The sequence below is a fragment of the Homo sapiens genome, chromosome Y (genome assembly GCF_000001405.40).
Source record: "Homo sapiens chromosome Y, GRCh38.p14 Primary Assembly".
NCBI lineage: Eukaryota > Metazoa > Chordata > Mammalia > Primates > Hominidae > Homo > Homo sapiens.
Genome location: NC_000024.10, coordinates 11,126,199 through 11,152,247, shown reverse-complemented (window position 1 = coordinate 11,152,247; position 26,049 = coordinate 11,126,199). Strand labels below are relative to the sequence as shown.

Genomic DNA, 26,049 nt, shown 5'->3' with positions numbered 1-26,049 from the left:
ACAGTTGGTGTCCTGTCCATGTAGCTCCTCAAAGCTGCTCCAGGACACCAGGCAGGGGCTGAGGCAATGACCTGTCCAGGGAACGCCAAAGAACCATCTCCTTGCAATCACCCCCAGCACAGGGGAAACCTGCAGTGAGGCAGATGGTGGTGAACTCAAAGGCCCCTGAGCTGGGGGAGGTTGTTGGGTGGGAGCTTCACTCCCTGCCACCCTAGACACGATGGCCAGGGAGGGGTCATGTGTGGGTGGGTGGTGGCTGCAGTGCCCTCCCTGCCTGCTGCAGGGGGATGCAGGTTGTCCAACACCATCCTGGGCCTGGTCAGCCCTGGTGCCAGCCTCAGCCCAGTAGCAAGGAGTCCTCCAGGAGAGCCAGGAACCTCCATGGGAGGTGGGTGGAGGTGAGGCCCCTCCACGCTGTGCCCACCCCAGCCTCAGAAGGAGCTGCTGGCACTGTCCCCTCTTGAACAGCAGCACTTCTCCCAGACTCTAGGGAAGTAGCCACTAAGAGGCCCAAGAAACAATGGCTCCCTCCATGCAGGCCCCACACTCAGGCTCCCATTATCGCCCAGGCCCAGGTGGCGCTGCCCAGCCCTGTCAGGTCCCCAGCAGGCTCAGGACCTCCTTGTCCCACCCTGGAGGGGGTGGCTGATGGAGAGCTGAGTGTGGGGGGTGCCAGAGGAGGGGGCCTGGGAGAAGTATTTAATCTCTGATGCCGGATGGTGGCACCAGGCTAGGAGGAACCGAGCTAGGTGTCATCCTGAGCACATGGCAGGTTTTAACTCCTTCAGACCTCATGACAGCCTATCACATGCATTTTACAGCAGGGAAAACTAAGGCCTGAGGGTCCCTGTGCCCACTGTGCTCGCACCCCAGGGACAGGTTGATGCAGGGGAGGCTAATGACAGCAGTGATGGAAATCACTCTCAGCTAGAGAGAGGCCACCTCCCCTGGCCCACAAACTTCATGACTCAGTGCAGAGCCAGCACCTGGGGCTGCTGGGCCAGAACCCTAAGGGCTGTCTCCTCATGCTGAATTCCCTGCTGACCTCCAGATTGTCCAACCCCCACCCCTGAGGCCATCTGGACACTGGCAGCTGCTGCTAACCCACAGGCCCCTCTTTGGAGTCCCTGTTGTCTTGGCCTTGAACTCCTACCCATGGTGGAGATCAGGTGTGGCTTGCTCCAGGAAGCCTCTGGGCTCCTGGGGATTGGGAGAGTGGCCGGAGGTGATTCAGACCTCCAAAGTGGGCAGGAAGGTGGATGCCCACACTGGGCTCTTCTCAGGCTCCTCTCCCCACCCTGGGCTTCTAGCACAAGAATAAAGAAGGCTCCAGCAGCTCTTGCCTGGAAGAGACTGTGGTACCTCCTGTCCTTGGCAGTTCACAGAGGGAGGGGTTGCTGGGGGCTGCTAGCCCATGGCTGTTACTGACCGGGTCAGGGTGGGGATGGAGACGTCCAGGCCCTGCCATCTGAGGGGTGCAGGTGGGATCTGGCCCAGCTGCAGCTTGGCCCTCTCCCAACCCCAGCCTGTCCTGTCCTTCAGTGAGCCCACACCCTGGAGTCAGAGCTGTGTTCTGTACTCTGCGGAATCCAGTGGAGCCTGGACACAGCTGCCCCCTCCGTGTTGGGGTCGCCCTCGGCTGTCCCATGTCAGGGTTCCCTCATCTGCCCCCTTGTGCAGTGGTTCCTAGAGATCACTCTCACAGGCATTAGATGCATGGCTCAAGGTCAGCGCCAGAGCCCCTGGTGCAGTGCCCGCTCTCCAGCCAACACGGGCCACCCTGGAGGGCTGCAGTGGAGCCTGCAGTAACAGAAGCCTCACTCCTTCAGACCCCCACTCCCCTCCCACACAGGCTGGCCACTGGGCTGGGGCTCATGGGCTGCCTGCCTTGTGCTAAAAATGGAACCCCAGACTTTCTGGCTTTAATAATACAATCCTGACCCCCCAGGGCCCTCCCCATTTCCTGGGAGCACCCCAAACATCTTCCATGGGAAAAATAGGACACGGAAACCCAGGCATCCAGGAGCCCAAGGTATCACACCCAGAGAGCGAAGGGCTTGCCAAGGCTCTTACCTCAGTGCCCAGCACCACTGCCAGCATCCCACAGTACAATGGGGGAGATGCTGTTGGCTGTCCATTGGGAGCCAGCCCCAGGAGCACAATGTACAGCAGCACTTTCCTGTCGCCATGGCTATGCTGCAGCCATGAGTGACCAGGGCTCTTTCTGTCCAGGAGACACCTGTCCTGCCCCATATGCTCACACTCTGCTTTCCCTGCCCACCCTACTCTGTCCTGGCCTGGGGTCCCCAAGCCACAGTGGCTCAGCCACCAGCCCTGCCAGCTGCCTGCCCAGATGGATGCTCCCCAGGCCAACCAGATCCGAGGAACTGGAGAGAGCTCTTCTCCTGTCCATTCAACCACCCCTCAGCCTCCCTCCACCCTGCCCTGCACTTGGGGAGTCTCTGTGACCAGTCCCCCACACAAGGAACTCACAGGAATGCCCCTTTCTGTTCGGGGGCAGGACTGCTGTCATCAGGGATCATTGAGGGAAGCACATGGAGAGGGGGACTGGGGTTTCCCATGACTGTGCCCCAGCAGCCCCCACACATTCCCCCACAGGGGATGCTCCCAGACACTTCTAAGCTGCCATGGGTGCCCATTTCACAGGTAGGGAAACCAAGGCTCAGATCCAAGGAGCTGCAGTATGTGTGCATCCACCTGTCTTTCTCCACAAGCCCCAGGAGCTCAGGGGCAACAATGTGGAGCCCCTGCCCTGGTGGCCCCTACCCTGCCACAGGCTCACAGTCTCCCCCTGGGGATGTGGCTGCCCACCTGCAAAGCTGTGTCCTCATCACCCAGGTCTGAGCCGTGCAGAGCTGGTTCCAATGGCGGCAGGCACCACAGTCGCAAAGCTGGAAGAAACAAGCATCCTCCCCAAGAGACTGCAGAGGGAGCGCATTTCTGCCCACACCTTGATTTTGGACTTGTGGCCTCCAGAACTGTGAGAGAATAAATTCCTGATGTCGTAAGCCATCACTACAGCAGCTCCCGGACACTAATATTGCTCAATCCGTCCAGGCTCCTCTCTCTGTTTGTTGCTGTTCTAGGTTTTTCTGAGACAGGGTCTGGCGCTGTCCCTCAGGCTGAAATGCAGTGGCACAATCATAGCTCACTGTAACCTCCATCCCCTGAACTCAAGCCATCCTCTTGCCTCAGCCTCCCCCACAGCTGGGACTACAGGCAGAGCTGCCATGGCTGGCCAACTTTTAAATTAGGTAACCCTTCCCAATAACTTTCACGATTAGTTAACATCTTCTACATTCCTATTTATTTTCCCTTTTAATACAAACATATGCCCATTAAATAAGCAAAATAGGGGAAAAATATTTAATCACCCAAAACCCTACCATCTACCTACCAGAGAGACAATAATGACAATAATGTAATTACCAAATTACATTAATTTTGGTAATCCAAAGCAATAGAAAAATCTCCAGTTTTCAATTTATTCTTCTTAGATTTCTAATCAAGAAAACCTATTTTCTACACTAAAGCAAATATATACAAAAGGAAAAGACACACTTATGAAGCAAAGGGATGAACTGGAGTCCTAATGTTACAAGAGGCTGGTAGTCATTCATTTGTCATCACTGAGGTATTTTCAGAAAATAGCCATGGTTCCCAGAACTTTAACAAGCACAATAATCCACTCTTAGATACTTGAAAGTCAGATAAGAAGACATCTATCCCTTAACTAGTTGTTATACACTCTATGTAAATAAAACCATATAATTTAAATTTCCTCAATTAATTCTCACAGACAATACCCAACCTCACATCACCATGATCTTTGACATATCAATGTTTTATTTTAAATCATGACAGACTATCTACATAGAATACTCATGATTTACAATTTCAGATTGTCAACCCAGCCAGTAACCTACGTAGCACTGAATTCAAATACCAGAAAAAGGACCCAGATTCCCTCACCACCTAGCAGAGCTCAAGTGAGCTACACAGCCTGGTAGGGAATGGGGAGTAATTAAAAGGTTGCAAGCAGGTACTACTATAGCCAGATGAGTTTTTGACAGGTTATCCTAAAAGCACTGAGAAAAGAAAACTGTTGTAGTATTCCAGATAAGATTATGTGGTCTGTAAAAGGACAGTGTCAAGGATATAGAAAAGAACAATCAAGGAATTTCAAAGGGTAAACTGGATGTAATTATATAGTACCACATCAAATGAACATCAGGCTCAAAGAAGGCACGGGGGAGCAGGAGGCTGCTTTCCCCAGGTACTCTCTTTCCCAGGCTTGCCCAGCAGTCCTGGCAACTGACATATATACATATATGGAAACCATCATTCTGAGCAAACTATCGCAAGGACAGAAAACCAAACACCACATGTTCTCACTCGTAGGTGGAAATTGAACAGTGGGAACACTCGGACACAGGATGGGGAACATCACACACAGGGGCCTGTCGTGGGGTGGGGGGAGGGAGGAGGGATAGCATTAGGAGATATACCTAATGTAAATGATGAGATAGTGGGTGCGGCACACCAACATGGCAAATGTATACATATGTAACAAACCTGCACATTGTGCACATGTACCCTAGAACTTAAAGTATAATAAAAATAAAAAATAAAAGTCTTCCTCAAGTTTATCATCAAAAAGTGCTACACATGATTTACAAGTATTTTCTTCCATCTTGTGAGTTGTCTTTTCACTTTCTTGATGGTGTCCTTTGAAGTGCAAAAATGTTTAATTTTGATGAAGTCCAGTTCATCAATTTTTATTCTTGTTGCTGGTCTCATATTTAAGAAAACTTTGTCAAATTCAAGGTCATGACAATTTACTCCTATGTTTGCTTCTCAGGATTTTATAGTTTTAGTCCTTACATTTACGTGGATTAGCTCAAAATGGATCCATTTGATCCATTTTTTTTTTTTTTTTTGCATCCATAGTTTTTGTATATGGTGTTGGGTAAAGGTCCTACTGCAGGTTTTGCATATGTTTACATATCTAGTTGTCCTTGTGCCAGTTCTCAAACTTCTTTCCCCACTGAATAATCTTGGCACCCTTGTCAAAAGCAGTGGTTATATATGTATGGGTTCATATCTGACTCTCAATTCTATCCCACTGGTCTATACATCTATCCTTCTGCCAGTATTATATTGTCCTGATTACCACTGACTTGTAGTAAGTTTTAAAGTCAGTAAGTATGAGTTCTCCTACTTTGTTCTCATTTTCAAAAGATTATTTTGGCTATTCTTAGTCCTTTGCAATTCCATATGAATTTCAGAGTCAGCTTGTCCATTTTACAGAGAACTCATCTGGGATTCTGACAGGGATGAAGTTAAATCTGTAGATGAGTTTAGGGAGTATTGCCTTCTTAACAATGTTAAGCCTTAGGTCCATGATCATGGGATACTTTTACGTTTATTTAGATCTTCTTTCATTTCTTTCAACAATCTTCTATAGTTTTCAGAGTACAAGTTTTACACTTCTTAAATGTATCAGTATTTTATTCTTGTTGATGCTATGATAAATGAAGTTGCTTTCTTAATTTCATTTTCTGATTGCTCATTGTGAGTATGTAGTACTCAGTTAAAGTGTGTCAAATACTATTGATTTTTGTATATTGACCTTGTATCCTGCAACCCTGATGAACACAAGGGATTTGTGTCTGGCGTACATAAGGAACAATTACAATTCTGTAATAAAAAGACAAAACAACCCAATTAGAGATAGATAATTCAAGAATGGATAAACAAACTTCAATACATGCAAACAAATGGAATATTATTCTGCAATTTAAAAAATGAGCTATCAAGCCATGAAAAAGCACAGAAGAACCCTAAATGTATACTGCTGGGTGAAAGAAGCCAGTCTGAAAAGGATACATACTACATGATCCTATTATATGACATTCTGGGAGAGGCAAAATTAGAGAGTAAAAAGATTAGTAATGACCGGGGGTTTGGGAGGAAGAGGAGGGGGAGGAATGACTCAGTGGAGCACAGGAGATTTTTAGGGCAATGAAACTGTTCTACATAATACTGTAATGGTAGGTACATGACATTATACATTTGTCAAATCCAAAAATCTATAAAACACAGAGTGAACCCTGAAGTAAACTATGAATTTCAGATATAAGTATCAGTTCATCAAATCTAATCAATTTAGCACAGTAGCGCAAGGTGTTAAGAGTTGGGAAAACTGGGCGGGGGCACTGTAGGGGAGCATATGTGGACTCTCTGCACTTTTCTCTCTATTTTTTCTAAAACTGCTAAAAAAAAGTCTATTGTTTTTAAAATAAAATGATCCCTAACAGGAAAAAAAAAATGACAAAAGATCTCAACAAATATTTCCCCAAAGAAGATATACACATGGCCAATAAGCATGAGAAAAGACACTGGACATTACCTTCAATAGGAAAATACAAATCAAAACCACAAGGAGATACAATTTCACATACATTATAATAGCTACAATTAAAAAGTCACACAGTAAGTGTTTGTGAAGATGTGGAGAAACTGAAATTTTAATACACTGCTGGAGGGAATAAAAAATAATGCAGCCATTTCAAAAAGTAGTTTGGCAGTTCCTCAATTAGACAGTTATATGCATCTGAGCAATTCTGCTCCTAGATAAACACCGAAGACAAATGTCTACACAAAAACTTATACACCAATGTTTATAGCAGCATTATTCATAATAACCAAAAGGGGTAAACAATGTCCTAAATATCCATCAAATGACAAGTGCATAAACAAAATCCAGTGTATCCATGTAACAGAGTATCATGTGGCCATAAAAAGTAAGTACTGATACATGTCACAGCATAGACAAACCTTGCAAGCATTATGCCAAGTGAAAGAATCCAGTAACAAAAGCCCATATGATAGATAATCCCATTTATATGAAACACACAATAGGGAATCCAGAGGCAGAAAGATTGGTGATTGCCAGTGCTACAACTGCGGGGGTGCAGATGATGTATGTGGAGAGACAGAATTGAAAGCTAAACGGCACAGGAGGCAGGGTGTTGTGGTCCATGCCTGTAATCCTAGCTACTAGGGAGGCTGAGATGGGAGGATATCTTGAGCCCAGGAGTTCAAGGCTGCACTAAGCTATGATTACACAACTGTACTCCAGCCTGGGCTGGTCGACTGAGCAAGACCCCATCTCTTAAAATAAATAAATAAATAAATAGAAAGAAAATAACCTAAAGGGCATAGGATTTTTTTTTGAGGTGGAAAAACAATTCTAAAATTGATTGGAGTGTTGGTTCCCAACATCTGTGAATATACTAAAAACCACTGAACTATATACTTCGAGTGGGTGAATTACATGGCATGTGAACTGCCAATAAAGCTGTTTTAGAAATCCTAATATTTGCTGTGCTATAACTTCAGCAAAGTACCGCAGGGCAATAATTGCAGAGCCAACCCTATCATTACAGTATGACACAGGAAAACTTAAAACTGCACTTACGATCAAGCTATATGCAGAGCATATTAGCACACCAAAAATAAATGACTACACTAAAGACCCATCCTTCAAGGATTACAGAATTTAAGTGCTGAAAAGGAGAGTAAAACTACTCTGTTTTTTTAAAAAGGTAAGAACTCACAACTTAATTAGTCACTTGTAAAATTCTGGATTGCTAAGAGATTTTCAGATATAATTTAAAAGAAAACACACGACCAAGACAATAATGAAAATCTATACATAAATTTACTATTACCTTTAGCTTCTGAACACACAGCCAAAAATCCATCTTCTGTCACTGCTTTAAACAAAGGTCTGACTCCTTATGTATCTCTGTCCAGGGACACTTTCTTATTGGCAGAATCCAGTAAAACAAATGCAAACACACCATCCAACATACAAATTGTTTGCTCAATTCCTCCTTTGTCATAAAGATGAAGGATTATTTCACCATCCACTTTGGTCTGGTATTCAAATTCAAACTGGTGCTGCACCTTAGGAAGCAATAGCAAAACCAAAACATTATAGACTCCTTGTGCATCCACTAATAATTTTCTGTCACAAAGTTGCTTCAGTATTTCTGGAGCTTTAAAATCATTTCATGCACTTTGGTGATTTAGGAGAATCATAGCATTATCAAACTAGGGTTTGCTTCAACTCATAATTCTGCAAATTCTGTTCAACATAAAGCTGAACCCATGAAAGTTTTAGTTGCAGTCTGATAAACAGAATATAACGGGAATGTACCAGAATAGTAACCTGTAGAGGAATGGAAATTCATATTATATACATACTATGTATGTGATACATAAATATTTTATATATGCAGATTGAGTATCCCTTATCTGAAATGTTTGGAACCAGAAGTGTTTAGGGTTTCGGAATTTTTTTTTGGATTTTATAATATTTGCATCTACGTGAGATATCTTGGCGATGAGACCCAAGTCTAAACGTGAAATTCACTTATGTTTCATATATCTTATACACATAGCCCAAAGGTAATTTTATATAATATTTCAAATAATTTTGTGAATGAAACAAAGTTTGTGTACATGGAACCATCAGAAAGCAAAGGTGTCACTATCTCAGCTTCCATGTGGAAAACTTGTGGCTGTCTGACGTCACTGACCATCATTTTTGACTCTGAATTTATATGCTACTGATGAGCAATCATTTTCACACAATTATTCACACATAAGTAAAAATATGACATGCCATTAATACAGTAAAAAACAATAAGCAACACAGTAGCATCACCAGAATACCTGCATCAGCTGTTAAACAGCTGTATAAACAATGGCAAGCTTTCAGGCTCCACCTACAAGGCTGCATTTTGATTAAAAGGTTACTGTACATTGTATTTTTTTCTTTTTTTAGGTGAGAAGAAATATCAGGAGTTGAGCAACTAGGAGGTGAGTCCTCTGAGGCTGAGGAGGCATTCTGCCAGATGGCTTTTTATAATGTTTCTCCAGAGTCATCTGCCTCATTATCAAGGGCTTTTGTCTTGGAAGTCTCTCTTTAATTTTATAAGCTGACATGACCTCTTGTTCTGTTATGAATGCAGGTAGCTCTAGTCCTTCAATATCTTCAATATCTCTATCACACATTTTCACCATGTCATCTATACCTTTACACTACAGTTCAATTTCTGCAACAGCTTGACTTTCTGTGTTCTAAGTGTTTCTACTTTTCCTTATCATTGCTGCTCGCAGGGATATCTACAGGCCTTATTGACATTTTCAGTATGTTAACACCACAGAGCAGAGAATAAGCAAAAATACACAATGAGTAAAGCACTTAGGTCCCATCTGTGGGAATCCTGCCATTGGCGTGTCCAGCTTGCACATGTGCCATTCTGTGACCCTTTGTGTGTGTGCTTGCATGGGGAAATCTGAGCATGTGTAGAAAAGTTATACTGCAGCTGAAGGGGGCTGAGAGGGTCTTTTTTCACTAGAGAACATCAAATAAACTGTGTGTTATTCACCTGCACTTTGACTGGTACATCAAAATCCACATGTGGTGTCATGTCAGTGCTCAAAAAGTTTCAGATTTTGAAGCATTTCAAATTTCAGATTTTTCAGACTAGGGATGCTCAACCTCTAAATTTAATTTAAGGCAATATGTTGCTTGGTTGCCATGACACTAAAAAACGTGTCTTCTGCAACTGTCAACTTTTGGTTTGAGAAGACAGTATTGGCTAAGAAGTTCCTCCAGTTCAGCTTCAAAGACCTAGCTATAAAAATGTAAAGCAAAGGGACAAACATCATTTGGCATCATTCCCTGAAAAATAAATGGCTCCATCACAATAACAGATGCATGATCCAAAACAAAGCTGCTTGTCCTCAGGTGAGGACGACAACACCCAGTGCTCCCACCACTGCAGTAGCATTAAAACTACTGCTCACTGAGAGATAAAATGATGGTGTCACTTTATTAGTCTGCATGCCCCAAAGAAACAGCAAAGGGACTGTCTGCCACTGCATGCAGAGCAAGAAGGTTTGATTAGGCTACTCACCAATTCTGACACTCTCCACCATCACTGGCAAACTATGAGGATGAAAAGTCCTTGATGTATTTCTCTTTGTATGTCATACTCACATTTTTGGCTGACATTAGAGAAATAAGAGGTTTAAATCAGGTGGGAATCCTAGGTTAAGGTTAAAACATGTTTTCAAGTCTCAAAAAGTAAACCTATTATGTATGTGCACGACCCATAAATACACTTCACACTCCATCCAGCTCACTGCATAATTTGTGAACCTTTTATCTGTAAGCCCTCAATGAACTGTCCAAAAATGGGCTTTGCCTCCAGTGACTATAAAGTTACTACCTGGTCACCCCTCTCTGCTCTATCAGGGATGATCTGTAACTAGCAGGTGGGGTCTGGAAACAGTCTTCTGCTGACTGTCCTGGGCTGAACTGCCTGAAGGGTAAGTCACTTACCACTTACTTTATGGTCACTTACCATAAAGCATGGAAAACTGTCATTAGCTGAAAAAAAATAAACCCAGCACCTAGGACAATAAATACATGCCATACATTCCCAAATAGAAGATGAGGCTCCAATTTGTTTTCTGCCTCTTAGGAGCTTATAAAACTAAAGTTCACAATTAATGGGGAAGGGAGGAGACAGATGATCTTCATTGCCTTAGTTACAAACTTGCTTTGGTCTATGCTGATCCTGTGTTAAACTGTGAAATAGAATCTATCATCCTGGCTCTCAGAGGCCCTTGACTTCACTCTTTTAGTGCTTTTCTTACTTATTTTCAAACCTTCACCTCTCTCACATTGAAAATCCCAACTCTTAATACCCTCTCTAAAAAACTACCCCTTCCCACCAACCACCACCACCTACCACACTCTATCATCTAAATCTGTTTCAAGATATAAAAATCTTGGTAATTTATATCTTAACACAAATTACATACTACCTTTTCAAAAAGCAAGTTAAGCCTGATTCTAATTGTGGGATGAAAAGTTTTTTCCCTATGAAGAAATTTTAAATATCATCAAGCATCTTGAGAGGTGCTAGCGAGGGCATGGAGCAAGGAATCAAATTCCATAGGCGATTGTTTTCTCTATCTTTATATAAAAATGTCCTTGCCCCAATTAAAGCCTCCACCAGGTATAAAAAGAAAGCGTTTGGTGATATTAGCAAGCAACAGTTTCCCAAATCTACCTTGCCCACCTCTTTGGCCTAAACTCTGTAGGTAATTTATTTTAAAAAGAGAAGTGTCCTTTGGGTAACAGACGTATCACTTCCTACTCTCTTAAACCAAACTCCGATGCTGCATCTTAGATAAAAGCCCTCAAATCTGGCCTCCTGAAGTCATGCTGTCATTTAACTTGGCTTCAGGCCCCTGATATTCCCCTGCAGGGAGAGAGCCTGCTCTTTGCCCCAGCCTTTACCCCATTCCTACTTTCTTTCACTCAGTCCCCCTCCACTCCCAGCACACCTCTGGCTGTATTTGATTATTAGTAGTAAACTTTATTTTTATCAAAAAGGGGGTAGGGGGTATTTTTGAGCTTATGTTGCAGAATACTTTATATAAGCCTAAAATATACATTCTGTTCATTAGATTTCTAGCTGCCCCAACTACATAAGCTAGGATGCTTGGTAGAAGCAATGGAACAAACTTCTCTAGTTTTACAAATATAACATTTGTATAATTTAGAACAGAAATTAATTGTTTTCAAAGTATTTAACTTCTTTTAGCTTTTTAGAAAAAAAAAAAAAACACTGTCTGAGTAAAACAGGGCACTTTCTATTTCATTTAAGGAGAAAGCCAAGCTGATAATGCCATACTGCCTAGCTTTCTCATGTATATGACACTGATTTGACTTAGAAAGAAAAAAGTTTTAATACTCTCTTCTACTTCCCACTAGCAGGAAATTCCATTCTTGCCTTTCCTTTTCACCATTTCATCCACAATCACCTAGAAAAATGATGTCTGGTGCATATTAGGCCCTTAAAAAAGGAATAAAGAAAAGTGTGAAAGGAATTTCTTGAATAACTCTTTTAAAACTTTTTGAAGAAGAAGACTATTATTAACAGTGTTCCCGTGAGCAGGCAACAAACAATGACAAAAGCTATTATTCAGAGATAAAACTGTCCAAAACATGGTTAGGATATAACTCTCTATCAGTGCATGACAGGTATCTATCAAGAAGTCTCAGAAAAAATACCAAGAAACATCACAACCAAATGCATGAATCTTGAATGAAATCTGTCTCTAAACAAACAAATACCAGCTATAAAGATATTCTTGGTAGCACTTTGAGGGGCCAAGGTGAGCAGATTGCCTGAGCTTAGGAGTTCCAGACCACCCTGGTGGTCCTAAGCTCCTAAGAGGCAGAAAACAAATCTTTACTAAAATACAAAAAATTAGCCAGGCATGGCGACAGGTGGGCCTGTAGTCCCAGCTACTCAGGAGGCTGAAGAAGGAGAATCACTTCAACCCGGGAGGCAGAGGTTGCAGTGAGCCGAGATCGCAACACTGCACTCCATCCTGGGTGACAAAGTTGAGACTCTGTTTCAAAAAAAAAAAAATTATTCAGACACTTAGGGAAATTTAAGTATAAACTGGATATTAGGTGGCATTATGGTTTTTTTTTTTCTTTTTTGAGACAGAGTCTTGCTCTGTCTTCCAGGCTGGAGTACAGTGGCTCAATCTTCATTTACCTAAGTCTTCTTAACACTGCTTAGTGAATATTAAGCCTGATGTAGTAAATACATGCTAACCACTAAATTGAAGGGGAAAGAGGGAGAACAAAGAGGCATGTAAAGTACACTTACTTTTTCTAGTAGGAAAAGCCAATTAAAACTATCACCTATTAGTTTTATTGGACTCAGTCTTACAGGAGGAAAAACTTCCTACTGTCGCTACCTATTCTCAATATTTTTCTTATTTCTTCCTAAACTTCTAGAGCCGTGCTGTCCAATAAATATGTGAGCCATGTACATAATTTTAAATGTACTGGTAAGCCCCATTAAAAGAAAAGGTGAAATTAATTTTAAATATACTTAACTCAGTATGTCCCAAATAGTAATCATAGTAATAATTTTAACATGTAATAAATATTAAAAAAAAATCAAGCAGATATTCTACACTGTTCTTCCCACTCCAATGACAAAATCCAGTGTATTTAACACAACACATCTCAATTAGGACTAGCCAGGATTCCAAGTGCTCAACAGTTACAGGTGGCTAGCGCCTACTGAATTGGACACTGCAGTTTCAGTGCATCGAATTTATATCCCACTTAGCGCTGATTAAAACTTCAACCTCTCACCTGACAATTATGCTAAGATCTCAGTAAGTAACCAACTACAGGCAGTTTCAAGCCCTACTTTACCTCTAATTACTCTTACAGCAATGCAATGAATCATGATTTAAAATTAAAAAAAAAAAACTGCTGTTAAATAATTAGTCAAGTGTCCAGGGCAATGGACAGTAAAGAAATAATGTAGGTCATGGGCCAAGATGACAAAACGGTCCTTTTATTTAAAGCTATAACAATAATCTGAAGCCAGCCCTGTAAAATAGACATCCATTGAAAAAGGCATGCTAGTTCTTTTGCTTTTTTGTGTACTTGGCCTCCTGTGTCCCTAAACAGACCTCTTCTCAGCAGAGTTTGCTCAGCAAGTCACTTGTTGAGTCTTGCAGTCTACAGAGGGGGTGGGGAATGGCAGGGGCTGGCATAGGAGTGAGAGGGGAGGAGGCAAGGTGAGGAGGGCCAGGTGAGGAGGGGGGCACTTGAAGGGGAGTTCAAGACCAGCCTGGGCAACATGGTGAGACCACCACCCCTCACCGCCACCATCTCTGTTCTCACTCTGGTCTCACACACATGAACAAATTAAATTTAATTTAAAAATTAAAAAATTGTCTTAAAATAAATGAAATATTTACATGGATTATGTATACATTCATTTTGTAGAACTATAGATCCCATGTAACTGGGAACTCTTTACTCTTCTAACACAACATTTATTTAGCCACAAATAAAAGAAGACCAGTGATGTAGCCTGTACACAATAAAGTAAGAAAACACTGGTTAGGCTGGGGCAGGGGTGGGGGGAAGAGATCTATGAAATTAAAATTTTATTGGGAAGGATCACTAATTAGAATCAGAACAATTACTGCTTTAAAGTAGTTAAGAACAGAGCACAAGAAACCCAGAGAAGAAGCAGATATGATTCAGAGCAGAGCTCACAGAGCAGATGGTATCTGAGCTGAGACTGATAGAATAACATTAATAAGGGCATTCACGGCCATTTATTATCACTTAACTGCAATGCATTTTGTATAAGTTATTTCTACTCTTCATATTGACCATGGAAAATAATACTTATTCTTCTCTTTTGAAGTTAAGGAAGTGGTAAGTGGTCTAAGAAGATAAATTAACATACCAACACCAAATAGCTCAAGTTCAGTGACTCAGGAGTGCCCGTGTCTCCCCAAGAGGTTGCTCAGCAGGCAGACGAGGTAGAGAGCCCTTCCAAGAAGTGACAGTGAGATGTGAAAGGTCTCAGTGTGTCTCTGAGAACAACAGAAACCAGTAAGTAGACCAAGTGGGAAAAGCCACGGAAGAGGCAGGGATTTCCTCTTAAGAGAGCAAGAATAAACAGAGCAAGGCTGAGGGAAGCCATGGAAAACGGGCAGAATACCATGCATTTAGTGAGAAAAAAAACAACTTTTACTTTAGAAAGGGGGAAAGAATGGTGGTGGTCTAGGTAAGCCTAGAAGCAGAGGAAAGGGCAGTGGAGAAAAAATAAACAAAATATATTAGTTAGGGTTCTCCAGAGGGACAGATCCAACAAGATACACGTATATGTATAAGGGAGTTTACCAGAGAGAATTGGTTCACACGGTTAGAAGGCAGTCCCACAATAGGCTGTCTGCCAGGTAGGGAAAGAGAGAAGCTAGTAGTGGCTCAGTCCAAGTCCAAAAGCCTCAAAACCAGGAAAGCCCGCAGTGCAGTCTTCAGTCTGAGGCCGAGGGCCTGAGAGCCTCGGGGAAGCCGCTGGTGCAAGTCCCAGAGTCCAAAGGCATAAGAACCTGGAGTCTCATGTCCGAGGGCAGGAAGAAGGGAATCAGGTGTCCTGCATGGGAAGAAGAAAAAAAGAGAGCCAGAAGCTTCAGCTAGCAAGGTTATCCCACCTTCCTCTGCCTGCTTTGTTCTATACAGTGCAGCGTGTGTACACCACTTCTGTGATATTGTTCCTAATATCCATGGGAAGAAAGGGTGATGTTACTCCCAATAGCACATGGGGGTGTACATCCCCTGTGATATTATTCCTAGTATGCAGGGGCAGGGAAAGGATGACATTACTCCCAATATCGCAGACGGTGTTCTCCCTGCCTTGTGATATTGTTCCTAATATTTAGGGGATAGTGGGTGATATTACTCCCAATATCACAGAGGGTGTGCACCCCCCATGATATTCTTCCTAATATCCAGGGGGGCGACAGGTTGATATTACAGTCAATGTCACAGAGGGTGTACATCCTCCCGTGGTATTGTTCTTAATATCTGGAGGGGGGAGAGGATATTACTGTCAATATCACAGGGGGTGTAGACCCCTTCGGTGATATTGTTACTAATATCTGGGGGGGAGAGGATGATATTACTGTCAATATCGCAGGGGGTGTACACCCCCCCGTGGTATTGTTCCTAATATCCGGGGGGGGGAGAGGAAATTACTGTCAATATCACAGTGGGTGTACACCTCTTCTGTGATATTGTTCCTAATATCTGGGGGGGAGAGGATATTACTGTCAATATCGCAGGGAGTGTACAACGCTTCTGTGATATTGCTCCTAATATCCGGGGGGGGGGAGAAGATATTACTGTCAATATCACAGGGGGTGTACACCCCTTCTGTGATATTGTTCCTAATATCCAGGTGGGGAGAGGATCATATCACTTTCAATATCGCCAAGTGTGTACATCCCCCTTGTGATATTGTTCCTATATTTAGGGGATAGTGGATGATATCACTGTCAATATCACAGGGGGTGTGCACCCCCCCATGGTATTGTTCCTAATGTCCAGCAAGGGAGAAAACACGACTACTCCCAATATGGCAGGGGGTGTACACGTCCTATGCAATACTCTTCCTATATCCATGGTGGAAAAGGATATTGGGAACAATATTACAAACAATATCACAGGGGGGTATACATGTCCTGCGATATGAGGAGTAATATAACCCTCTCCCCCTCTGGATATTACAAACTGTATCACAGAGGGGTGTAAACCCCCTGGGATGTGGAAAGTAGTATCATCCTCTCCCCTACTGGATATTACAAACAATATCACAGATGGTGTACACATGAGGTGTTTACGATATTAGGAGTAATATCATATCCCCCAGTGGATATTATGAACAATATCACAGAGGGGTGTATACACACTCTGCCTTATAGGGAGTAATATACTCCTCTCCCACCCTGGATACTACATCGCAGGGAGGTGTACATCTCCTGTGATACAGGGAGTAATATCATCCTTTTCCAGCCTGGATATTACAAACAATATGGCAGGGGGCAGTACACCCTGGCGATATGGGTAGTAACATCATCTCCTCCCCACGTGGATATTATGAACAATATTCTAGGGGGTTGTACACCCCCTGCAATATGGGGAATAACATCGTCCTCTCCCCCACTAGATATTATAAGCAATATCGCAAGGGGGGTGTACACTTCCTGCAATAAAAGGAGAAATATCATTCTCTCCCCCCAGAGATATTATAAACAATATCGCAGGGAATTGTTCTCCCATGCTATATGGGGAGTAATATCTTCATCTTCCCCCTGGATATTACGAAAAATAACGCAGAGGAATGTAAATCCCCTGCGATATGGGGAGTAAAATCATTCTCTCTGGCCAGGCGCGGTGGCTCACACCTGTAATCCCAGCACTTTGGGAAGCTGAGGTGGGTGGATCACGAGGTCAGGAGATTGAGACCATCCTGGCTAACATGGTGAAACCCCGTCTCTACTAAAAATACAAAAAATTAACTGGGCGCGGTGGCGGGCGCCTGTAGTCCCAGCTACTAGGGAGGCTGAGGCAGGAGAATGGTGTGAACCTGGGAGGCGGAGCTTGCAGTGAGCCAAGATCAGGCCACTGCACTCCAGCCTGGGCGACAGAGCGAGGCTCTGTCTCAAAAAAAATAAAATAAAATCATTCTCTCCCTCCCTGGATATTACGGACAATATCACAGCGGAGTGTACAATGAGTTTCTAGAATATATTTGAGGAGGGTGAAGGGCGGTGTGTGCGTGCTTCATGGCCTTATTCAATTAAACACTCTGCTCTCAATTTATTGCTAAATCCTCCTTGAGCCCTTAGATTTCATAACGGTTGTCGCGAGATTTTTCTGGATGTAGAAAACGTACCTATTTCTTACCACCTCATGGGCTACACCTTGACCTAACGTTTTTATGTAGATACTTATGCTTACTCTGTGGCCTTTCCAGGGTTTGCTGAAGATGGATGTATATAGTCTGGACAAGAGGTGGTGAGGTAAATTGGGGCTTATCGATTATAGAACAGGCTCCTTTAGAGGGATGTAAAGCACCGCAAAGTCCTTTGAGTTTTAAGCTGTTGCTTGTAGTGTTCTGGCGAACAGTTTTGTTGATCTAACTATTCGAGTTTAGGGTTAAGCATAGCGGGGTATCTTCTCCCAATTTGGATCTTAGCTATTTTGTCTTCAGAATATTAAAGGCATTTTCGTAGTTATTTCAGCTTGGGTTTTTTTACAACTTTTTTACAATTTATTTAGAAACTTTCAGGTTTCTAAATATATGAATGAACCATAATATAAGCCTTGGCCAATACAATGCAGGTTAGGCCTCCTACTGTAAAAAGGAAAATAAATCCCTGGGCTCACAGCATTGTGGGGGATCACTTGATATTACCGCCGTGAAGTGTAGCTAGCTAGTCAGCTAAAAACTTTGACGCTAGTAGGAATAGCAATAATTATAGTAGCAGAGGTGAAGCAGGCTCATGTGTCCACATCTATCCGTACCGTAAATATATGGTGGGCCCATACAATAAACCGTAAGAACCCAACTGATCCTATAGCTCACACTAGACCCATAAACCTGAATGGTTCTTTTTTTTCCCAGAATAGTGTGTTATGGCGTGGGAAATTATCCCAAAGCCCAGTGGGATGAGGATTTAGACTTCAGGGTGACCAAAGAATCTGAATAAATGCTGACATAAGATAGGATCACCTCCGCCAGCCAGGTAGAAAACAGTAGTATTATGATTGAGGTCAGTTAACAATATAGTGATGCCAGAGGCTAGGACTCGGAGACAAAGGAGTAGAAGAACTGCTGTAATTAGGACTAATTAGATGAAGAGGGGTGTGTGATATTGGGACATGGCTGGGGGTTTTATATTAACAATTGTGGTAATAAAGTTAATAGCCCCTGAGGTAGAAGAAACACCTGCCAAGTGGAGTGAAAAGATAGTGAAATCTACAGAGGCGCCTGAATGTGTTAGGTTTCCTGCTAAGGGAGGAGAGACTGTTCAGCCGGTTCCAGTGCCGGCTTCTACTATAGTGGATGCAAGTAATAATAGGAAGGAGGGTGGGAGGAGTCAGAAGCTCATATTATTTATGCAGAGAAATGCTATATCGGGGCGCCAATTATCAGGGGGACTAATCAGTTGCCAAGACCTCCAATTATAGTATTACTATAAAGAAAATTATGACAAATGCATAGGCTATAACAATGACATAAATTTGATCATCTAGTGGAGTTCAGCTCGAATAAGTCTTAAAGCTGTACTGACTATCCCTGCTTATGTGACAAATAATAAATATAATGTCCCGATATCTTTATGGTTGGTTGAGAATAGTCGACTGTCAGCCAACATAAATGAAGTGAGAAAAAAGGGTAAAATGACTAAGTAGGGCATTAGACTGTACATCTAAAAACAGAGGTCAAGGCCTGTTTTTACCAGTCCCAAGGTGATTTTCACGTTGAATTGTAAATTCAAAGAAGCAGCTTCAATCCTGCTTCTCTCACCTTTTATCCCCCAGCGGCTGGAGAAGTAGATTCAAACCAGTTGACTAGGGAGTTTAGCTGTTAAGTTTTCGTGGGTTTAAGTCTCATCAATTTAGTAAGAACTTAGCTTACTTAAAGTGATTGATCTGTATTCAATTGACCAAGGGTGGTCTGTATCAGAGAAAGTACATTTCAGGGCCACCATACAACGACTGTTCAAAAAGGCCTCCAATATGGGATAGTCCTATTTATTATCTCAGAAATATTTCTCTTCGCTGGATTCTTTTGAGCATTCTACCATTCTAGCCTAGCCCCTACTCCAGAATTAGGAGGACATTGACCCCCGACAGGTATTTCTCCCCTTGACACCCTGGAAGTACCCCTCCTGAATCCATCTGTATTACTTGCATCAGGAGTTTCAATTACTTGAGCCCATCACAGCCTAACAAAAAATAATGAAAAACATACAATCCAAGCACTACTTATTACAATTATATTAGGTATCTACTTCACCCTCCTACAAGTCTCAGAATACTTCAAAGCTCCCTTTGCTATTTCTGATGGTATTTATGGCTCAACATTTTTTATAGCTACAGGCTTTCACAGACTTCACGTCATTATTGGATCAACATTCCTCAGTCTGCCTTCTCCGCCAACTAAAATACCACTTTACATCTAGTCATCACTTTGCCTTTGAAGCTGCTGCCTGATATCGACACTTTGTAGATGTAGTATGACTATTCTTGTATGTTTCTATTTATTGATGAGGATCTTACTCTTTTAGTATAAATAGTACCATGATTTCCAAAGTTTCGATAGCATCCGAAAAACAGTAATTCACCTAACATTAACCCTAGTAATCAACACCCTATTAGCCCTGTTACTAATAATTATTACATTTTGGCTCCCACAACTTAATATATATATATAGAGAGAGAAAAAAATATATATATATATGTATAAAATAAATATATATAGAAAAATCTAGCCCTTATGAATGCAGATTTGACCCTCTATCTTCTGCCCACATTCTCTTCTCCATAAAATTCTTTCTAGTAGCCATCACATTTCCCCTATTTGAGTTAGAACTCGCCCTACTACTACCCTTACTGTGAGCCCTTCAAACAATCTGATACTAATAATCCCTGCGATATGTGTAGTGACTTCATACTTCACCTCCCCCCCCCGGATATTATGGCCAATATCAGAGTGGAGTGTGCACCCCCTGCAATATGGGGAGTGATATCATCCTCTCCCCACTGGATGTTATGGACAATATCACAGGAGGTTTACTTTCTCTGCGTTATGGGGAATAATATCCTCCTGTCCCTGCCTGGATGTTAGACATATTTACAGGGGGGGTGTCCAACCCCTGCGATATGGGGAGTAGTAATATCCTCTCCTGCCCTGGATGTTATGGACAATATATAAGGAGATGTACAATCCCTTCGATATGGGGAGTAATATCATCCTCTTCCCCCTAAACGTTACGAACAGTATCACAGGGGGGTGTACACCCCCTGAAATATCTGGAGTAGTATCATCCCCTTCTTCCCTAAATGTTACAGAGACTATCACAGGGGTGTGTACACCTTCTGAAACATGGGAATAATTTTATCTTCCCCTGTGGAAGTTATGGACAACATTACAGCCGTGTGCACCCTCTATGATATGCGGAGTAATATCATCCTCTCCCCCCTGGATGTAAGTGACAATACCACAAATGGGTTTACATCCCCCGTGATATGGGGAGTAATATCATCCTCTTTCCCACTGGATATTAACAATATCACATGGGGATGTACAACCCCTGTGATATTCAGAATAATATCTTCTAATCCACTGAAAATTATAAACAATATCACCAGTGTACACTCCCTGTGATATTGGAAGTAATATCATCCTCTAATCCCCTAAAAATTATGAACAGTATCACAGGGGAGTGTATACTTCTTACTATATTGGGAGTAATATCATTCTGTCCTCTTCTAAATATTATGAACAATATTACAGGGGATGTAACACTCCCTGCAATATGTGGAGTAATATCATCCTCTCCTCACCTAAATATTGTGAACAATATCACAGGAGGTTGTACACAACCTGCGATATTGTTTGTAGTATCCAGTGGGAAAGAGGATGCTATTACTCCCCATATCACAGGGGGTGTACACCCCCACTGTGATATATTCAATAACATCCAGAAGTAATATTACTGACAAAATTGCAGGGGGTGTAAACCCCACGTGTGATACCGTTCCTAATATCCCGGGGAAGAGAGGATGATGTTATTCCCAATATTGCAGGGGGTGTACACCCACCCTATGATATTGTTCTTAATATCCAGGAGGGGAGACAATGGTATTACTCACAGTATCAAAGAGGTTGTACAGCTCCCCTGTGATAGTTTCTAATATCCAGGGGGTGTACACTCCCCTTGTGATATTTTTCCTAATATGTAGGGGGAAGGACAATGATATTACTGTCCGTATCACAGGAGTTGTACAACATGCCCCCCGGGATATCATTCCTAATATCCATGGGAAGAAAGAATACTACAATATCGCAGAAGTTGTACACCCCCTCTGTGATATTGTTCCTAATATCAAAGATGGAAGGGTATGATGTTCTTCCCAAAATCACAGGGAGTGTACACACATCCTGTGCTATTTTTCCTAATATCGAGAGTGAGAGACAATGATACTTCCAATATCGTAAGGAGTGTACACTCTCCCCGTGATACCAGGTGGGGAAATGTTGATATTACTCCAAATATCACAGTGGTTGTACACACGTTTTGCGATATTGTTCCTAATATCAAGTGGGGGGAGGATTGTATTACTCCCAACATATTACTCCCCACACCCCATTATACTGTTCTTAATATCCAGATTTGGAGAGGATGATATTACTCCCAAAATCTCTGGAGGTGTAGACCCCTTCTGTGATACTGTTTCTTATATCCAGGGGAAGACTAGATCATATTACTCCCAACAGTGCAGGGTGTTACACGCCACCCCCCATGATATTGTCTCTAATATCAAGTTGGGGAGAGGGTGATATTGCTCCAAATAATGCAAAGGGTGCACACCAGCCCTGTGATATTATTCCTAGTATCCAGAGGAGGAGAGAATGGTATTATTTTTAATATCGCAGAGGGTGCACACCCCCCTTGTGATACTGCTCCTAACATCCAAGGGGTAGAGGATGAAATTACTCCCAATATCACAGTGGGTATACACCCCCCCGTGGTATTGTTCCTAATATCCAGGGGGTATAGGATGATAGTACTATAAATATCGCAAGGGTTGTACACCCCTTCTGATATTGTTACTAATATCCGTGGGGGGAGTCGATGATATTACTTCCAATATCACAGGGCATGTACACCCCCCTTGTGATATTGTTCCTAATATCCTGGGAGGAGACTACTATATTACTGGCAATAACACAGGGGGTGTGTATTCCCGTGATATTGTTCCTAATGTCCAGCAAGGGAGAAAATATTACTCCCAATATGGTGGGGGTGTACACTTCCCATGCGATATTGTTCCTAATATCCATGGGGGAAAAGGATGATATTACTCTAAATGTCGCAGGAGGTGTAAACTGCTCCTGTGATATTGTTCTCAATATCCATGGGGGGAGAGAATGATATTACTCCCAATATCACAGGTGGTTGTCACCCCTTCTGTTATATTATTCCTAATATCCAGGTTGGGAGAGAATAATATTACAGGTAAAATAGCAGGGGGTGTACACTCCACCTGTGATATTGTTCCTAATATCCAGGGGAAGAGTGGACAATATTACTCCCAATATCGCAGGATGTGTACACCCCCTTTTTGATATTGTTCTTAATATCCATAGGGGGAGAGGGTGATACCACTCCCAATAGTGCAGAAAAGGTACAGCCCCGCTGTAATATCATTCCCAATATCCAGAGGGGACAGGATGATATTACTCCCAGTATCACAGAGGGTATACACCCCCTCCCCATGATATTGTTCATAATACCCAGGGGGTAGAGGATGATATTACTCCCAATATCGCAGTGGGTGTACACCCACCCTGTGATATTGTTCCTGATATCCATGTGGAAAGGGTATAAAGTTACTCCCAATATCACAGGGGGTGTACAACCCCCTTGTGATACTGTTCCTAATATTCAGGGGAGAGACAATGATATAGCTGTCCATATTGCAGGTGGTGTACAACCCCCTGGGAATTTGTTCCTAATATTCAGTGGGGAAGATTATATTAATTAAAATGTCACGGGGGGTATACAACACCTTTGTGATATTATTCCTAATATCCAGGGAAAGAAAGAATGTTCCCAATATCACAGGGGATGTACACCCCTCTCTGATACTGTTTCTAATATCCCTGGGGAGAGTCTATAATATTACTGGCAATATCATAAGGAGTGTATACCCCCCGTTATATTGTTCCTTATGTCCAGCAAGGGAGAAAATATTAATCCCAATATGGAACAGGGATTCCATATTGTTGTTCCAATATGGAACAACACCCATGAGGTATTGTTCCTAATATCCAGGGAGGGAAAGGATGATATTACTCCCAATGATGCAGTGGTGTATAACCCCCCGTGATATTGTTCCTAATATCTAGGTGGGGAAAGTACAGTATTATTCCCAATATAGCAGGGGTTGTACACCGCCTTTGTGATATTGTTCTAAATATCCATGGGGAAAGAAAATGATAGTACTCTCCAATATCGCAGGTGGTGTACAACCCCTTGTGATACTGTTTCTAATATCCATGTTGGGGGAGGATATTACTCCCAATATTGCACGTGTTGCACAGACCCTCTTTGATATTGTTTGTACTATGAAGGGTGTGGGGGGAGAGGATGATATTGAGAGTAATATCACCCTCTCTCCCCGGATATTAAAAGTAATATTCAGGGTGGTCGACACCTCCTGCAATATTGAGTATAATATCCTCTCCCAACCTGGATATTAGGAACAATATCACAGGGGCATGTACACTCCCTTCCTTTCACCATATACAAAAATCAACTCAAGATGGATGAAGGACTTATGTAAGACCCAAAACTATATAAACCCTAGAAGATAACTTAGGAAATATCATTCTGGACATAGACGCTGGCAAAGATTTCATGATGAAGATTCCAAAAGCAATTGCAACAAGAAGAATTGACGAGTGGGACCTAATGAAACTGAAGAGCTTCAGCACAGCAAAAGAAACTATCAACAGAGAACACCCTACAGAACAGAAGAAAATATTTTCAAATTACATATCTGAAAAATGTCTAATACTCAGCATGTATAAAGAATCAATAAGCAAAAAGCAAACCCACTACAAATAGGCAAAGAACATGAACCCCCACATTCACCATCCTCAAGTCCATGTGCAACTTCTTTCTGGATGCTGGACAAGAACTTGGGTACCAAGAGGGCACTGAACAGGTTAACACTTAAGCCGTCTGTGGATTCTTTTTTCAAAAGACAACGTATGTGTGGCAAACAACCATATGAAAAAATATTCAACATCACTAATCATCAGAAAATCAGAACCATGAGATACCATATCACACCGGTCAGAATGGCTATTATTAAAAAATCAAAACAAAACAGACGGTGCCGAGTTTGTGGAAAAAAAGGGAATGCTTATACACTGCTGGTGGTGATATAGAAAGGAGACAGGGAAATACTGGGTAGAAGAGAGTGGTTCCCTGGCAAAGCCCTGCCCACAAGCTTGGAAACCCATCACCCTAAATGGGAACAGGCATTCCTGCTTTTGCACCCAAAAGTTGTCTTTCAGCTCAGCATGCACCCCCTGTCCTGTACCCATATATGTCCCAGACCCCAGGCTCCAGAAGCAGACAAGCAGATGAGGAGATGAACAGAAGAGCAGAATTGCAGAATGATGTGGCAGAAAGAAGAGAAGGAGCATCTGAATGCCAAGAGGAGTTTGGCTGGCAGTGGTTGGAGAGATCAGCCTCCGGATGGCAAAGCTCCCAGGGAAGATCATCTTCTATTCCATCCCCTTTCCAGCTCCCCATCCATCCCATTGAGTGCCACCTCCACCACTCAATAAAACCCCCACATTCACCATCCTCAAGTCTGTGTGCAACTTAATTCCTTCTGGATGCTGGACAAGGAACTGGGTACCAAGAGGGCACTGAACAGGTTAACATTTAAGCCGCCTGTGGATGGCAAAGCTAAAAGAGTGCACTGTAACACATGCCCACTTGGGCTGTGGGAGTCGCAGGCACCCACCCCTAGACAGTACCATGGCCACTTGCCCTGCCTATTGCACCTGCCTGTTTGCATGTTCCCCTGCCCAATAAGGGGTTTGACAGCACACATAGTGGGCAGACAAGCCACACCCCTGTTGCACATCCTGCCAAGGGGAGTCAGGGAACTCTCCAGTTTCATCAGGAATGTAAATTTGTTCAGCCATTGTGGAAAGCAGTTTGGAGATTTCTGAAATAACTTAAAACAGAACTACCATTCAACCCAGCAATCCCATCACTGGGTATATACCCAAAGGAATATAAATCATTCTGTCATAGACATATGCACGCATATTTTCATTATAACACTATTCACGATAGCAAAGACACGGAATCAACTTAGATGCCTGTTAACAGAAGACTGGATTAAAAAAATGCAGTGTACATACACCATGGAATACTACACACCTATAAAATAGGATGAAATAATGTATTTTGCAGCAACATGAATGGAGCTGGATACCATTATTCTAAGTGAATTAATGCAGGAACAGAAAACCAAACAAACACTGCATGTTCTCACTTATAAGTGGGGGCTAAACATTGAGTCCACATGGACACAAAGAAGGGAACAATAGACACAAGGTCTACTGTGGGTGGAGGGTGGGGGGAGAGTGAGGATAAAAAAACTCCCTATTAGATACTACGCTCACTACCTGGATGACTACATAATCTGTACACCAAATCCCATTGACACACATTTTATCCATATAATAAACCTGCACATGTACCCGCTGAACCTAA

General features: G+C 42.5%; 2 pseudogenes; one reads left to right on the top strand and one right to left on the bottom strand.

Annotated features, from left to right (window-relative positions):
• MTCO1P37 (MT-CO1 pseudogene 37) lies at window positions 17,833-18,890 on the bottom strand (annotated as a pseudogene).
• On the top strand, window positions 19,184-19,794 carry MTCO3P37 (MT-CO3 pseudogene 37; annotated as a pseudogene).